This window comes from Homo sapiens, chromosome 8 (genome assembly GCF_000001405.40).
Source record: "Homo sapiens chromosome 8, GRCh38.p14 Primary Assembly".
Taxonomy (NCBI): Eukaryota; Metazoa; Chordata; class Mammalia; order Primates; family Hominidae; genus Homo; species Homo sapiens.
The window spans coordinates 81,818,495-81,836,874 of NC_000008.11; the positions used below are offsets into that span (position 1 = coordinate 81,818,495).

At 35.4% G+C, this 18,380-nt stretch overlaps 1 protein-coding gene across 13 annotated transcripts in view, besides 1 other annotated feature; it reads right to left on the minus strand.

The window, feature by feature from the left end:
- Nucleotides 1-18,380, minus strand: part of SNX16 (sorting nexin 16) — a 42,603-nt gene that overhangs the window by 18,912 nt on the left and 5,311 nt on the right. For 8 of the 13 annotated variants that reach the window (NR_145472.2, NR_145474.2, XM_005251282.5 and 5 more), the window contains 2 exons: nucleotides 10,936-11,022; nucleotides 5,298-5,446 (listed from right to left, as the gene is read on the minus strand). Coding sequence is in view for 9 of the 13 variants with exons in the window: in XM_005251282.5 (XP_005251339.1) it covers nucleotides 5,298-5,446; nucleotides 10,936-11,022 (236 nt within the window). In the remaining 4 variants the exon portion in view is untranslated. Of the gene's footprint in view, nucleotides 1-5,297; nucleotides 5,447-7,928; nucleotides 7,966-10,935; nucleotides 11,023-18,380 lie in introns of those variants that run through there. The other 5 variants (NR_145473.2, NR_145475.2, NM_152837.3 and 2 more) reach the window with 2 other exon arrangements.
- Nucleotides 15,366-15,566: a silencer, noted in NCBI's record as "peak7089 fragment used in MPRA reporter construct". NCBI's record gives its function as "represses an SCP1 promoter by STARR-seq MPRAs in K562 erythroleukemia cells {active_cell/tissue: K562}" and the evidence as "EXISTENCE:reporter gene assay evidence [ECO:0000049][PMID:32103011]".

Sequence of the window (18,380 nt, forward strand, 5' to 3'; positions counted from 1 at the left end):
AATCAAACATATCCCATTTAATAATTCCCTCTTTGATACCACTGATAGTTATCTACTCTCTTCAAATAGTTAAGATGAAGAGAAATCTACTTTTTCAAAAGGCAGAACATTTTTATATTGGACAGCTTGAAATGACAAGTAACTTTTTAAAATCTGAGCTGATAGTACCTTCCTCTAACTTCTTGTTGTTATTCCTATTTTATATGTTAGCCTTGCTATTCAAAATGAGGTTATTAGACCAGCCAGTATCAGCATCACCTAGAAACCTGTTAGAAATGCAAAATCTTCCCCTCACGCTTGCTGAATCAGGGTCAGCATTAACAAATCCCAGGTGATTCACAGACACATTACAGTTGGAGAAGCACTACTCTTAAATATACATGATCAATCCTTCCTTCCAAAAACAATCTTTCAAATCTTTCAAGTATGTAAAGATGGCTATCATATCTCCCAAGTAGTTTTTTAAAAGAATATTCTCATTTATTTCAATTGTTCTGTCATATTAATGTTTGGATACTATTTTCTTTTCTTTAAAGCCATGAACTGCTATTAATCCAGATCCATCCTGAACTTTAAAAAAATAGATGTAGAATTAAAAATACTGAATTTTCGTACTGAATCCCTTACAGATAAATGATAGTGTGAAGACAAATACATAACTTTAACTTTTGAATTTCGAAAAATTAAAAAGAAAAAAATGGCATGTAAGATACATGTGAAGTACTTCTAAAAATGGAGAATGGTAAAGTATTTGCTGTGCTGATTAATGACATAATAATTTAAAAGTAGTTCAAGACACTGTAAAACAAATAGCTATATTTTAACTAAGACTGTGCAATGTAAGACTATATTCACCTTGATAAACTGACTTGCATGTTGTTCCTGGTACAAGACCTGTACCTTCTTGCTTCTGCATTTCGATTATGATATTTCCTATCATTTGCAAAGTCCTTCTTCATCTTTCCTTGCTGGGCCAATGATCACTAATTCTTTAAAGTGCAGTTCAACTATCACCCTCTGCGAAACCTTTTCTAATTTTCCTAGTCAAAAGTTCTCTTTTCCACCTTTAAAAGAGATCTAACTATCCATTATGATTTCTGGGGGTATGTCTTCTTTCTATTCAGTTTTTTTAAATAGGATGAGTATCTAACTCATTTTTATATAGTCAAAGCATCTTTTAAATAGTAAGCTCTAAATAAATATTTATTGAACAGATAAAATCTCTAATAAATCTGTTTATTATGTAAATATTAATGTTTTTATCTGCATCCTTACTTTGAACTTTCTAAATAAATCTGAAAACAACATTCTTTTAAAATATTCAAATCAATAGTCCTTAACATCCATTCAATTCGTATTTTCTTCCATTTCTGCTTTGTTAAGAGTTGGAGAATATGTAGCATTAAGGGCTGCCCATTGTGTAATGGTAAGGGCTTAGCCAAGAGGAAGGTTAAGAACTAGCCTTGTTGTAAGGTGCTAAGGATACAAAAAGTGAAAGAACAATTAATAAACAATTAATATGAATGTATAAACAATATCAAATAATTATTTGGCCAGCTAAAGATACTAAGCTTTTTCTATGTTGCCATTCCAACTGTACCAGAATGCTAACAGGCATCCCAGCAGGTAATATGCAACTAATTGATGTTTTTATGTAGTGATTCTTACAAGCAGTTTTATGTTTTCATAAAGAAATGTTGAGATTTTGTCTTTTTTCCTTTTCTCCCTTAGGAGGGATTTCCCCCCCTTCCTTTTTAATTGTAAAAAATGAGACAATCTTCTTTCCCTCTTCTCCTACTTTGTTGGATACAATCAAGCTTTTGTCTGATGAACTACCTTATGCTCCAACTACTATTTGAATTTAGATTGCAGAGATAGTTAAAATCTTGGCTGTGCAGTACAACAGTAGTACTGATGGCAGAATCAGTGCAATAATTTAGTCTGTGATACATTTAGAATTAGGTATGTATTTCATAGAAGGAACAGTACTGAGGGATGACAAGATATAATCTCAAAAAATGTAGGAAAGTACTGTGCTAGTTTTTTAATGGATCAACCATCAATTCATAAATATTTGGCAACCTCAGACTTTCTATATACTTTCTAATTATTTGTTTCTGACTTATATCCATTTTCCTACCCATAATCTTAAGCATTCCAGGCTCCCCAAATCCCATTCTCAGTACTGCTTGACCATTGCAAACAGCACTGATCTCCCCGCTTCTTTGAGTTCTTGTTACTTTTATAAAATGTATCATACCAAGTAGCAATTCACAAATGTCATTATTTTGTTTAAACAGGAGCCTAATTTCTCTAAATGAATTTTAAAACCAGTGAGTATATATCCCCTCTTTTATACCCTTTAACACAGGGCAAATGCATAAGATTTGCTCTGTATGAATAACCCTTCCTCCTCTTCTCTGACTCACATTTTAAGCAATATGTTATTAAGAAGTCTCTTACATTGTGAAACAAAAAATGCCACCCATCACCTATAAAAAAGATAGTGAGTACCAAGGCACAAGTACCCTGCTTTTAATTGAATTGAGGTTATCTTCCTGCATTCCCTAAATGCCTGATAATATATGACAAAGGCAGGTAGGCAAACAAACGCAAGGCATACTAGATTCTTTCATGCAAGATTTCTTAGAACCTTTAATCCTTTAGGGATATCAAATGAAACCTTTCCCCAACTTATTTAGCTAAGAAACCTTTCTTTGCCTAAAATGCCTATTTATGAATTGAGCAAGACCATTACCACTGTTCTGAGCTATGCAGCTTTAGAAATGACAGGATCTCAAATGGCCCTAGTAATCTCTACTTTAGCAACTAAGATCTATTATCAGTATTTTAAAAATAGAGAATTCATTTATAGAATACATTTGATTTTAATTCACCATAATATTTTAAATACAGAGACATAAAGGTTTACCGAACAAGGGACAAGAGAAAAGGGGAGAGGATATGTCGACTTCTTGGTGGTAGTACAAGTCCTCTTTTATGGTATGCTATTAAACATATTTTCTTCCAAGGCTTTCTCTATAATTTTGGTGTTTACTGGTTTTTATTCCTGCTTTGTGTGTCTGAATTAACACTAATCTTTTCTCTTTTTTCTTTTGAGATGTAATATATATATATAAAGTGGGGAGCACTAATGTTTTCACCACCTAGACCACATAATCGCTAACTCTGTCACATTGGCTTCAATTTTTTTTTTCTAATACACAGTATATCAGTGAATATCAATAGTTATATCATTCACTCAAGAAGTACTTATTGAGAACCAACTATGTTAGTGCTGTGCTAAACATTAGATTGGATGGTGAATAAAATAGCCACATGACCTGTTGTTAAACATCTTACAATCAATCTGGTGGGAGAAAGACAAATATTGACAGAAATAATTATAAGCTGAAATGCTATGAAAGTGAAGTACCAATTAGCCTTTCTCAACTGAGATTCCAAGAGAGAACTGACCCCTACTGATAATGATTTAAGTGATTGTCTCAATTCTATTGAGACTGGCACATAGCTAGTATCATCTTAGAATATAGGAAATAAGTTAATTCATTACCTGTGGGTGATGAACGGTGTCTTAAAGCATCAGAGCCAGTTGAGAAGGGATGGTACAGACTCTGTGATAGAGAACTGACCTAGTGTTTGGTGGTGGTGGTAGTGGTGGTGAGTGGTCAGTCAGGAGGCCAGTTACCTAACGAAGTGCAGTTTGTGTTGAAAACTGAAGGATGGGTAAGGTACGAGGTCAGGGTTGGATGGGGTAGTAGTGTGAAAGGCTGCCTTTTCAGGAAATAGCATATTTGAAGGCTCTGAGAAACAAGGAGCAAGCTGATTTTGGAGAATTAAAAGAAGACCAATATGGCAAATGTACAGAGAAGGGGAGGTGGGCAGGAATAACAAAACCTAAGATTGAAAAGAAGGCAGGCAGGCAGGGACCAGAAAGAATAAGTCAAACTGCATCACAAAGATCACTGTGGCTCTACTGGGCTATAGTAGTAAGAGGGGAGGAGGAAGACCAGTGAGAAAGCATCTACAGTAATTAAGGTGAGAGATACGTGCTTGGACTAGGGTAGTGATGGCAGGGATGGAGAGAAGTAGACAGACTTGAGTGGTACTTGCAAGGGAAATGTTAAGGGTAGTGAAGGATGTGTTAAAGATGACTCACAGGTTCTGGGTAGATGATGCTGCTACAAATTGGAGGAAAAAAGTCTGCATACTAAACTTTCAAATATGTTTTAGGTTTGACGTAATTTTGAGATATCTGAAGATGTCGAGGAGACAACTGCATATATCAATCTGGAGTAGAAAGAATGGGTTTGGCTTGTAGTTCCTTCATTAAGAGAAAAATAAGGGAGGATGGGCAGAGACCTTGAGAAGCCATCAGGCTTATGTGGCACACACTGAAAAGCAAGATGTGTATATATATATATACATATACATATATATATATATATATATATATATATACACATATGTGTGTGTATATCTATATATATATATCGCACGTGTGTCATGCAGGAAAAAAATTGATACATGCAAAGGTTGAGAAAAAGAGGTAGAAAAAATTAGATAGAATGGTTTTCTTAATTTGTTTTCCATCCTCATGTGAAAAACTGCCCAAGACAGTTACAGGCCCAAGTTATCTATAAGCTATTGCTACACTGTAAATGCTTTCTACTTTTTTTTTCAAAGTAGTTTTAATTTATCTGATAACATAAGTTCCAAAATTAGATACTCAGCTGATATTGAACCACTAAGCAATTTTCTTGTAAATATATTCTGAAGCAAAAAACCCACATAGATCTGTTCTTTTCCTTTTTTAATGCTGTTTGGTATTTTCACTCTACCTTCTATGTAAATTAAGCCAATTTCACAATTTTAATATTTTTGCATTACTTTGGAGAAATATAAAGAATATTACCCTTACAATTACATAGTATCATATTAACCAAAATTTTACTAATATGTAAGTGGTTTTGTTTAAGTCATTGCTAAAATACAAAATACTAAAAGTTTACCTTTGGGTGGTTTAGTACATGGTACACTGGATTTTTCACTTTACTGACTATTTAAAATAAGCTTTGATAAAAATGAAATGTCAAATAAAGTCCTTATTGAAAGAAAGCAAGAAAATCTCTTGTAGTACTTTGTTAAAGAAGACAAGTAATTATACTCCAACCCTGTATTTTTGTGCTTAAATAACTATGATCATAGATTTATTCTTTAATTTACGCCAGTTATTGGAATGCTTTTATAATCTCTTATTTCAATTCGTTACATACCAGTTAGCAATGTCCTTGTGAGCTACTAAATTTTGAAGAAACGCTTGTAATCCTAATTGTCTGTCTTCTAAAAAGTCAGCATTGTAATTATCTTTAAACCAGCGTTTTGGAGGAAGTGCTAGTCGAAAACCTGGAAACATCTCTTTTAACTGAAAAAGAAGAAAAGAGCAAATACAATGTTTAACTCAAGCACTATCAATTCTACAAAATCTATCCTGTTGACTACATGAAATTATTCATGAAATAAGTTTAAAATAAAAGAATTAAATTCAGTTAAGCTTTTTATGCCTTGTTTTATTTCTTGTTTTCTACCAGCTGTGTATACAGAAGAGTTCCAGTCTTTCCACATCCTTGCCAGAACTTGGCATTGTCCATCTTTTGAATGTTAACCATTTTAGTGGGGGTGTAGAACCATTTCATTCTGGCTATAATTTGCATTTCTTTGCTGACAAATGAAGTTGAATATCTTCTCATCTGCTTATTTGCATTTGAGTATCTTCAATGGTGAATTATGTATTAAATTTTTTAGCACCTTCCCTTTAAAAAAATTAGGTTGCCTAAGTTATAAGAGTTCTTTATATATTTCAGATACAAGTCCTTTGTCAGATACATGCATTACAAATATTTTCTCCCAACTTGGCCTGACTTTTCAATTTGTCTTAACAGAGCAGATTTTTTTTAATTTTAATGTTATTTAATTCATCCATTGTTTCTTTTATGGTTTATGCTTTTTTTTAGATCATAAAAAAAGTCTGCTTACTCCAAGGCTGTAAAGATTTTCTTCTATGTGTCTTTCCTAAAAGTTTAGTTTTAACTTTTATATTCTGGTTATGACCTATTTTATACATTTGGCTTAAATTTTACTTTCTTAGGGAAGACTTTCCCAACCCTGTAAACTAAGTGAAGTCTTCCCTTTTACATTCTGTTCAAGTTACCACAACTGTGTAACAAATTACCTAAAATCTCAGTGATACAAGATAACCATTTCTTAATATTAAGCTCACAGATTTTTTAGGTCAATAATTCATATGAGGTACAGTAAGGATGATATATCTCTATTATGCAATGAATTCAGGCCTCAGCTGAAAGACTTGAAGGCTGGGTGCTGGAACTGTCTGAAGTTCACTCACTTACATCTATAGTGGATGATGCTGGCTGCTGGCTGAGAACTTTGCCAAGGTTGTCAGCCATAAGCCTAATACTGGCCTCTCCAGGTGTCTTGGACTTTTCTTGCAGCATGGAGGCTGGCTTCAAAAGGGAGCATTCCAAGAAAGCAAGCCAGAATGAAACTGTGCACTTCTTGTAATCTAGGCTTAAAACTCACACAGCATTATTTCCACTGACCTCTATTGGGTTGAGTAGTCGCAAGACCATCCAGGTTCAAGGGGAGGGGAAATGTATTCTATCTCTTGATGGGCAGTGGCAAGATTCAGGAAGAGCATATGGGACTAAACATACTGCTGTGGCCACTTTTAGAAAAGACAAACTGACACACATTGTCAAATCATGAATTTATTTCTTTAATGACATCATTCACAATGTAAACAGCACATTTAATTTAGGCTGTCTTAGTAGACCAGTGATTCTAAACTCTGGCTGCACATTAGAATCACCCAGGAGTTTTAAAAGATATTAATGATTGTTTCCCATCTCTGATAGATTAGGATTTAATTAGTTGAAATGAGGCCTGGGCATTGTAATTTTAAAAAGCTTTCCAGTGGAATCCAAAGTGTAATTAAGATTGAGAACCATTTTACTACACTACAATTATTATGCATGCCTTAGTCATAGTTGCATCTTTAATGTCTAGCATAGTGCCTGCTACATAACAAGCAGTCAACAATATATGTTCAATAAATGAATGACTGAAATGAATCCGTGTATGTTTGCATTTCTATACTTAAATATAAAATGAATATCACAACTACAAAGGAAAAATGCACTGCATAAAATAGTGGAAAAATGGTAAATTATAACATTCTGTCTATATTTCTATAAACGTGAAGATAAAATAAATAAGGCAAAAACTAGAGAATAACTTAGATAACTAAAACCTTAATTTGATTTCAAGATGTAATTAGATATTTATGGCCTTGGAGCTTTGATATTTAATGTATCTGGACAGAAAATTAAATAACAAAAGACATGAGGGAAATGAAAATAGGCTTTTTATTAATTTTAAGCTTTATAATTTAAATTATAAAAACCATTTACAATTTAAATGGTTAGATTTTTTTTTTCCCCTTAAAAAATTGTCCACAGAAAAGAAGGAGTTGTCCCACAATTGGGTAATTCAAGAAGAGGAAGATAAGGGATAGAGAAAATAAGATCCAACAAAGGAGAGAAATGAAAAAAAATTGCCAGAAAGACAGTGAAAGGCAATCTCAGGATGCCACTTACAAAGCTCATATGGAGGGCAGATCAGTTTAGGAGAGAGCAGCGTGACTCAAGAGACAGACATGTGGAAGAATATAACTGAACTTCTTTTTAATGTGAGGACTGAATGCCTGGTTGCATCTGCCACAGATTTTTTATATGAACCTGGAATGTCTTGACAATGAGTTGGTAAGGTCCTGCTCTCTCTCTCCCTATGCTCTGCTGCCTGGAAGCAACTGAGAACAGTAATTTTACCTCACAGAAATGTTCAGCTTTGTCCTACTGCTGTAACCTGGAAGTAGAAATATTGAGCTTCAATTTTAAATAGAATTTAGAAAAAAACTCACTTCTCATGGCCATATTTCTACAATCAATGCATCTCCCAGTCCACCCTAAAACCCCGCCTGGTTGCCCCAACTCTGATAAGCCCTGTGCATTCCAGAATTTGCTCATGACTTTGTCCTCTGACTTCCTCAGCAGAGGCTCTTATCACTCCCAGAGAAGTTGAAGTCAGACCATAACCCAGGAAATAAAAATAAAACAAAAAGAAAATATTAATGTTCTATATAAATGTTCTCTTTCTAAGCAGTGTTATTTTAGCACATTCAATAATTTTTGTATTGCCAATTAGCTATTTGTACTTCACAACTATATAACTGGGAAATGTAAATTCCTTAAAGTTAGAATCACATCTATATAGTTTCTACATAAGAGTAACTCCAAATTCCTAGCACAATGCTGAACTCTATCTACTCATTTCATAAATACTTCATGATTGATTTTGTAAAATGAAAAATCCTAAGCTTTTATTTTTTACAATTATATCAATGATAACTACAATTTAAACTGTGTGTTTCTTAGTGTTTGACATACTTTTTAAAAATATTGCCAGTAAAAGCAACTGATGGGTAGAGCTCTTTCTGGTACCTATAACACCAACATAAACACTTATTAATTTTAAATGCCCATCTTGGAGGATCAAGGAGATATTTACTAAATTTAAATTAAACTCCTATCATCTTTTTTCTAAAAGATTTATCTAAATTTCAGCTTGCCTAAGAAAATACTTCAGCAATAAAGATGAAATCTAAAGAGATAATAGGAAGTAAACACTAAATAACAGTATAGTCTGAAAAGAAAAATAATGGATTTTTTTTCATAAAGGATTAAATAGGTCTACAATGAAACTGTTTGAAATTAGTCTGCATGATCAAAATTGTAATAATTTCATTAAAAACTAAGTATTCCACTTAACTATCAGGTAACTTCATGAATTGCTTTTATCTTTCGGCTTGTTTAGTCATTTAAAAAAATTAACAGAAGTACAGAATTATAGATTTCAAATTCATCAGTATAATATATGAAGCTCAGGAACAGTAAATAAAATTCATATATAACTGTAGGTATACATTAAAAATAACACTTTATTTTGGCATATTACAAGAAAGCATCTTAACCAAATCTTAAAATGGATAAAATAATTTAGCATTCCATATTTTACCTTTTCATTTAAACTGAGGTTTTTACAGTGGCAGAAAAATTTGGCAGCTAAATAACTACAAAGTTACATGGGTTTCCCATCACCAAACACTATAAAAATATACTAACTTTAAAGCTTCAAGGAGTCCAAAGAAGGAGGAAAGGACAAGTCACAAATGGGAGAGAACAGGACCAGTACAGCTTTCTTATTAAACACCTGTCAAAATTGGAGAGTAATTTCTGCATGTTCTAAGATCATCTTACTTGGCCTCTCAGAAGCATAATGAACTGCTTGCTTCTTTTAGATAAATGATTTTTCTCTTGGCTTCCAAAATATCACACCCTCTGCCTCCTGCCCCATCTAAATTTCCTCTAGCTCTGGGGACAAGGCAGCTCTTCTTTTGCTATTATATTCTAATAATAATTTACTTAATTCTTCACTTTTAGAAATTTAGGTTGCTTCCAACTTTTAACTACTAAAAGCAAAGTAAAACACAGATAAACAAAACAATATACAAAACACTGTGGTAAGTGCCCTTAAAGCTAAATATTTCCCATGTTTATGACTACTTATATATGATAAATCCTAGAAATGTGATTATTATGTTAAATTATGCAAAACTTTTGGGTATCCCCTAGGAAGATTCATACTTCCAACGCTGGGTATTATCATTTAAATATCTGTCAGCTTGACAGGTGAAAAAGAGTGTCTTAGTTTCCTTTTCTTGGAGTATCTGTGATATTAAGTGTTTTCCAGGTTTATTGATCATTTATGTTTCTTCTGTGAATTATCCTGCTCATACTGTTTGTTGCATTTTTTACTTTGGGGTTCACTTTCCTAATTTAGTTTTAAGGGTTCTTAATACACTGAGGTTTATTATTCTTCTGTTTTGTATGCACAGTAGACAGAATTCTAGATGGTCCATGATCTTTGCCTCTGGTGTTACTTCTGTGATTTTATTATGTTACATAGAAAAAGGATTTTGCAGCTGTAATTAAGGTTACTAATCAATTGACCTTAAGCTAAGATTATCTGGGTGAGCCTTATCTTACCACCTGATCCCTTTAGACTGTTTTCTCTAGCTGGTGGCAGAGGAGAAAGTCAAAGAGCTTCAAAGTACAGGAAGAACTTGGCTCACTGTTGCTGGCTTTGAAGATGGAGGGGCTATGTACAAGGACTGGAGAGTAGTCTCTATGAAGTATGAATGATTTCTGGCTGACAATCAGCCAGGAAACAGAAAATTTGGCCCTACAACTTCAAGAAACTAAATTCTGCCAACAACCTGAATAAGCTTGGAAGGTAATTCTCCTCCAGAGCCTCCAGATAAGTGCCCAGCCCAGCTAACAGCTTGATTTTGACTTTGCTTGATGCTAAGCAAGGAACCCAGCTGAACCCACCCACACCACTAAATAATAAACAGGTGTTAATTTAAGCAACAAAGTTTGTGGTAATTTATTATGCAGTAATAGGAAACTAATACAATATGTTAAATATGTTTTTGTTCATTATCTTATAGACATATATAATTTTATAATAATTCAAAAGATCTTATACACATCTTTTTCAGACTCACAAGATAATTATTTATATTTCTGTTGGCAATTTTAAAGTTTCACATTTTTATGCTAAAAATTTTTATTTTAAAAATTTATTTAAAAAATTAATTTTCTTATGAACTAGAATGAATTTGACTCATTAACAAAGAAAAAATATAACAGAAGTATAGGAAACAGAAAAGAATTCAAAACTGAAATGTTAGTTTGGATTTATTATAGTACTTACTTTGTCATTAAGCCTAGAGAAGTCAGTGTATCTTCTGAAAACTACCCAGCTTTCTTCTGGGGTTTTCTTTACTAGTATTTTATATACCTATGCACAGGAAGAAAAACAGACGGAGAGAAAAATATAAAAGTAAAGATATTTAAAAACTCAAGCCAAATATTTTAAAAAATTTTACTTGATAACCCAGACTATAACAATTATTATGTAAAAAATATCAAAAATCATTTAAATTATCAAAAGTACAAATAATCAATGCAGGCACCAAAAGCCAGATTTTTTCCTTAGGAAATATAACAGATTTGAGACAAAACGCTTTTTCTGTGCACACTAACAATAAACTCATCAGCTTCCAAAACATGATTTATGTCAATATATTCTAAAATTGATTAAAAAATTATACTTGAAGAAGCTATGAAAAATAGCCACTTTTGTTCTACACAATTTTTAAACTTAATAACTATCAAGCAAAGTTTTCAAATAAGTTCAATGTTTTTATTGCCAAGAATAAAATATGGAAGTCCTAGCCAAAGCAATCAGGCAAGATATAAATAAAAAGCATCCAAATAGGAAAAGAAGAAGTCAAACTATGTGATTCTATGCCTAGAAAACCCTAAAAACTCTGCGAAAAGGCTCTGGGAACTGATAAAGGACTTCAGTAAAATTTCAGGATATAAAATCAATGTTTAAAAATGAATAGTATTTCCATACACCAATAACATTCAAGCTGAGAGCCAAATCAAGAATGCAATCCCATTTACAGTAGTTACACACAAAAAAACCACCTAGGCATACATCTAATCATGGAGAGGAAAGATCTCTACAGGGAGAACTACAAAACACTGCTGAAAGAAATCACAGGGCCGGGTGTGGTGGCTCACACCTGTAATCCCAGCATTTTGGGAGGCCGAGGTGGGCGGATCATGGGGGTCAGGAGATCGAGACCATCCTGGCTAACACAGTGCAACCCCATCTCTACTAAAATACAAAAAAAATTAGCCGGGCACGGTGGCAGGCGCCTGTAGTCCCAGTTACTTGGGAGGCTGAGGCAGGAGAATGGCATGAACCCAGGAGGCGGAGCTTGCAGTGAGCTGACATTGCACCACTGCACTCCAGCCTGGGTGACGACAGAGCAAGACTCCGTCTAGGGGGTAAAAAAAAAAAAAAAAAAAAAAGAGAAATCACAGATAACACAAAGAAACAGAAGAACATTCCATGCTCATGGATTGGAAGAATCAATATCATTAAAATGGCCACACTGCCCAAAGCAGTCTATAGATTCAATGGTATTCCTATCGAACTACCAACATCATTCTCCACAGAATTAGAAAAAAACTACTCTAAAATCCACATGGCACCAAAAAAGAGCTGAAATAGCCAAAGCAATCCTAAGTGAAATGAACAAAGCCAGAGGCATCACACTACCTGACTTCAAATTATATTACAAGCCTACAATAACCAAAACAGCATGGTACTGGTACAAATACAGACATATAAACCAATGGAAGATAATAGAGAACCCAGAAATAAAACTGCACACCTACAGCCATCTGTTCTCTGACAAAGTTGACAAAAATAAGCATAGGGAAGCGATCCCCTGTTCAATAAGCAGGGCTTGGATAACTGGCTAGCTATATGCAGAAAAATGAAACTGGAGCTCTATCTTTCACTATATACAAAAATTAACTCAAGATGGATTAAAGATTTAAAGGTAAGGCCACAAACTATAAGAGTCCCAGAAGAAAACCTATGAAACACCATTCTGGACATCGGCCTTGGGAAAGAATTTATGACTAAGTTCTCAAAAGCAACTGCAACAAAAACAAAACTTGATGTGAGACCTAATTAAAATAAAGTTTCTGCACAGCAAAAGAAACTATCAATGGAATAAAGAGACAACCTACAGAATGGGAGAAAATATTTGTAAACTATGCATCTGGCAAAGGTCTAATATCCAGAATCCATAAGGAACATAAACAATTCAAGGCTGGGTGCAGTGGCTCATGCCTGTATCTCAGCTCTTTGGGAGGCTGAGGTGGGCAGATCACTTGAGGTCAGGGGTTTGAGACCAGCCTGGTCAACATGGTATGGTGAAACCCCGCCTCTACTAAAAATACAAAAATTAGCCAGATGTGGTGGTGGGTGCCTGTAATCCCAGCTACTCGGGAGGCTGAGATGGGAGAATTGCTTGAACCTGGGAGGCAGAGGTTGCAGTGAGCCAAGATCACACCACTGCACTCTAGCGAGTGACAGAGTGAGACTCCGTCAAAAAAAAAAAAAAAAAAAGGAACTTAAACAATTCAACAAATAACCTCATTAAAAGTAGGCAAAAGACATGAACAGATACTTCTTAAAAGAAGACATACAAGCAGCTAAGAAACATAAAAAAAATGCTCAACAACACTACTCATCAGAAAAATGTAAATCAAAACCACAATGAGATACCATCTCACAGAAGTCAGAATGGCTATCAGTCATTATCATGACAGATGCTGGTGATGTTATGGAGAAAAGAGAGCACTTATATATTGCTGGTAGAACTGTAACTTAATTCAGCAACTGTGGAAAGCAGTTTGGAGATTTCTCAAAGAACTTAAAACAGAACTCCCATTTGACACAGCAATCCCATTCCTGGGTATATATCCAAAAGAAAACAAATTGTTCTACCAAAAAGACATATACACTTACATGTTCATTGCACAAACTACTCACAATGGCAAAGACATGGAATCATCCTAGCTGTCCATCAAGGATAGATTTGATAAGGAAAATGTGGTACAGATACACCATGGAATACTATATAGCCATAAAAAAGAATCAAATCATGTCCTTTGCAGCAACATGTATAGAGGTACAGGCCATTATCCTAAGTGAATTAATGCAGGAACAGAAAACCAAATACCTAATGTTCTCACTTATAAGTGGGAGGTAAACATTGGGAACTCATGGACATAAAGATAGCAACAATAGACACTGGGGACTCCTAGTGGAGAAGGATGAAGGGGGGAAGGAGTTGAAAAACTGTTGGGTACTATGCTCACTACTTGGGTGATGGGTTCATTAGTATCCCGCAATATACCTATGTAACAAACCTGCACATGTATCCTTTGAATCTAAAATGAAAGTTGAAATTATTGTAAAATAGGGCAAAATATAAGCTTGAAATACCAAAAAACCCCAACTGAATAAAATTTACATTTTTGTAATTATGTACAATTATGTAGGCTACTGAGTAGAAAAACTTGGTTGAAGCAAGTCAATGTATTTTTAAAAGCACCTAAGGAAAAAGTGGATTCTATTTTTTATAAGTATGCTTTTAGAATGTATTAAGAGAAAGTGTTATTTATGATAGAATCTCAGAGAAGCATCTAGTAGTTTTGATACGGTATTTTGCACTAAGCTACATATAGGCACATACGAGATACTCAATAAATATTTGCTGAATAAGAAACTCTCTTTAAAAAAGTAACTTCTTTTCTGGACATTTGCTGTGCAACAATTTTCAACTGCAGCTCTAGAGCTGCACTTTTGGTCACACATGGCAATTGAGCACTCAATGTGTGACTAGTCAAAATTGAGATGTGCGTAGTGTGCAACATATACACTGAATTTCAAAGATTTAATGTGAAAAAAGATGTAAACAGCTTTTATTAAAATGGTCTAATACTAACTACATGTTAAAATGATAATATTTTGGACATATTAGGTTGAATAAGATATATTAATAAAATAATTTCACCTATTTCTTTTTTTTTTTAATGTGGCTCCTAAGAAATTTAAAATTACAGATGTGATTCACAATTACTGCTCACATTATACTTCTATTGGACAGTGCTGCCCTAAAGACCATTCATTAGTTAGGGACTATAGATTATCCTTACCCTTTGATTTTTCTCCCATACAAACTTCTCTTTCAGCTTTTAAGGGAGAGAATAAGGAGGAGTTAAGGATAAATCCTTTAGCTTTGAAGTTTAAAAAAATAAAGCAATTTATCTTTGTAACATCTAAGGGTGGGAAACAAGGTTACTCGGATACTCTTTAAAGTCAGCAGAAGGTCCTGATCTAAAAAAGTTGCAATGGGAATACAAAAGAAATTCTTTTTAGGAGTCACTCATTAAAAGAAGAGAGAAGTCGACTTTAAAACTTTTGAGTATGAATGACTGATACAGGATAAAAGTGCACTTCATATAATAATTAGGAATATCTACAAATAATACATACTGACTTTATTTTCTTGTCTTAGAAAATGAACTCCCCCTTCTAAATAAGCTACTCTCCACTGTGGCCACTGAATACCCCTGTTTCTCTAGCAAGATAAAATACGACTTTTGTGTTCTATCTCTTCTAGAAAGTGCTTTCTACTTGTTTAAGTAGTGCTTTCAATGAAAACTTTATGAACAGTACTGATCATTCCCTTCTCTATATTCCAATAACTGTTGTTGTTTCTACTCTTTATTTGAAGTTTCATATGTATTTCCTTGTACTGTTTTTATTTTAATGTAGTTGTTTTTGAATTATAAAATATATACAAAAAGTGTGCAATTCATAAGCGTACAACTTGACAAATTTCACAAAATGAACACACCTAAAGTACTATGAGTGTATTAGTCCATTTCATGCTGCTGAGAGACATACCTGAGACTGGGCAATTTACAAAAGAAAGAGGTTTACTGGACTTACAGTTCCATGTGGCTAGGGAGGCCTTATAATCATGGTGGAAAGTGAAGGCACATCTCACATGGCAGCAGACAAAAGAAGAGAGCTTGTGCAAGGACATTCCCATTTTTAAAACCATCAGATATCATGAGACTTACCCACTATCACAAGAACAGCATGGGAAAGACCTGCCCCCATTGTTCAATTACCTCCCACTGGGTCCCTCCCACAACATGTGGGAATTCAAGATGAGATTTGGGTGGGGACACATTCAAACCATATCATTCCACCCCTGGCCCCTCCCAAATCTCATGTCCTCACATTTCAAAACTAATAGTGCCTTCCAGACAGTCCCCCAAAGACTTAACTCATTTCAGCATTAACTCAAAAGTCCACAGTCCAAATTCTTATACGAGACAAGAAGTCCCTTCCGTCTATGAGCCTATAAAATCAAAAGCAAGCTAGTTACTTACTAGATACAATGAGGGTACAGGCATTGGGTAAATACAAGCATCCCAAATGGGAGAAATTGGCTAAAACAAAGGGGCTACAGGCCCAATGCAAGTCTGAAATCCAGCAGGGTAGTCAAATCTTAAAGCTCCAAAATACTTTCCTTTGACTCCATGTCTAGTTCATGTCTGGGTCCTGCTCATGCAAGAGGTGGGCTCCCATGGCCTTGGGCAGCTCCACCCCTGGGGCTTTGCAGGATATAGCCCTCCTCCTTCCTGGCTGCTTTTATGAGCCGTGGCTTTTCCAGGTGCATGGTGCAAGCTGTTGGTGGATCTACCTTTCTAGGACCTGGAGGATGATGGCCCTCCTCTCACAGCTCCACTAGACAGTGCCCCAGTAGGGACTCTGTATGGGGCTCTGACCCCACATTTCCCTTCCACACAGCCCTAGCAGCAGTTTTCCATGAGGGCCCTGCCCCTACAGCAAACTTCTGCCTGGGCATCCAGGCATTTCCATACATCATCTGAAATCTAGGCAGAGGTTCCCAAACCTCAATTCTTGACTTCTGTGCACTCACAGGCTCAACACTATGTGGCAGCTGCCAAGGCTTGGGGATTACACCCTCTGAAGTCACGGCCTGAGCTCTATGTTGGCCCCTGTCAGCCATGGCTGGAGCGGCTGGGACGCAGGGCACCAAGCCTCTAGGCTGCACATAGCACAGGGACCCTGGGCCCAGTCCACAAAACCACGTTTTCCTCCTACGCCTTTGGGCTTGTGATGGGAGGGGCTGCCATGAAGACCTCTCATATGCCCTGGAGACATCTTCCCCATTGTCTTGGGGATTAACATTGGGTTCCTTATTACTTATGCAAATTTCTACAGCCAGCTTGAATTTCTCCTCAGAAAATGGGATTTTACTTTCTATTGCACTGTCAGGCTGCAAATTTTCCAAACTTTTATGCTGTGCTTCCGTTATAAAACTGAATGCCTTTAGTAGCACCCAAGTCACCTCTTGAATGCTTTGCTGCTTAGAAATTTCTTCCGCCAGATACCCTAAATCATCCCTCTCAAGTTCAAAGTTCCAGAAATCTCTAGGGCAGGGGCAAAATGCCGCCAATCTCTTTGCTAAACCTAACAAGAATTACCTTTTCTCCATTTCCCAACAAGTTCCTCATCTCCAACTAAGACTACCTCAGCCTGGACTGTAGAAAGAGGTTTATTTGACTTACAGTTCCACATGGCTGGGAGGCCTCACAATCATGATGGAAGGTGAAAGGCAAGTCTCACATGCTGGCAGACAAGAGAGGACAGCTTGTGCAGGGAGACTCCCGCTTTTAAAACCATCAGATCTTGTGAGACTTATTCACTATCACAAGAACAGTATGGGAAAGACCTGCCCCAATGATTGCCCCTTGTCCCTCATCTGAGACAAGGCAAGTCCCTTTTGCCTATCAGCTTGTAAAATCAAAAGCAAGTTAGCTATACTTCCTAATTACCTCCCACCAGGTCTCTCCCACAACACATGGGAATTAAATGAGATTTAGGTGGGGACACAGCCAAACCATATCAGTGAGCAAGAAATGAAACATTACCAATCAAAGAGGTCCATAGCATGCTTCCTTCCCAATTCTACTCACTACACATCCTAGTCAATTTTTGTCTTTAAACAACCTTTTTAAAGACTAGACACCTTATATATTATCAGATCAAGAGTGAGTCCTAATACTTTTTTCAGTTATGAGAGCAATTCAAAAGAATATATCTAGAAAAAATTATTTTACAAACCTAAGATTCTCAAGTTTGTATCTCCAGCTTATACCTCTCCCTTAAACTCAGCTTATATGTATACACACACATTACATATGTATGTGTACACATTAACACATGTAACATCTCCATTTCAATGTTGAACAGACATATCAAATCTAGCATGTCTAAAAACAAATTTTGATCATCCCTCAAAACCTGTCATTTAATTAAATGGCAGCCATATCTTCCCATTGTTTAGGCCAAAACTTTTGAAGTCACCTTTGACCTCTCTTTCTCCCACACTCCACTTCCAAATCATTAGGAAATATTGCCGGTTCTACTTTTAAAACAAATCCAGAACCTGATCACTTCTCAGGACTTCCTCCACCACCCCAGTCCACACTACCATCATGTTTCCCTTGGATTACTAAAAGAACCTACTAACTGCTTCCTGCTTTGACTGTCCCCCATCTCGACCAAACCAGTCTCAATTCAGTAGCCAGAATGAACTTTTTAAAACATTGTCAGATCACATGACTCTTCTTTTAAAAACCTTTTAAAAGATTCTCATCTCATGCAGAGTAAAATCCAAA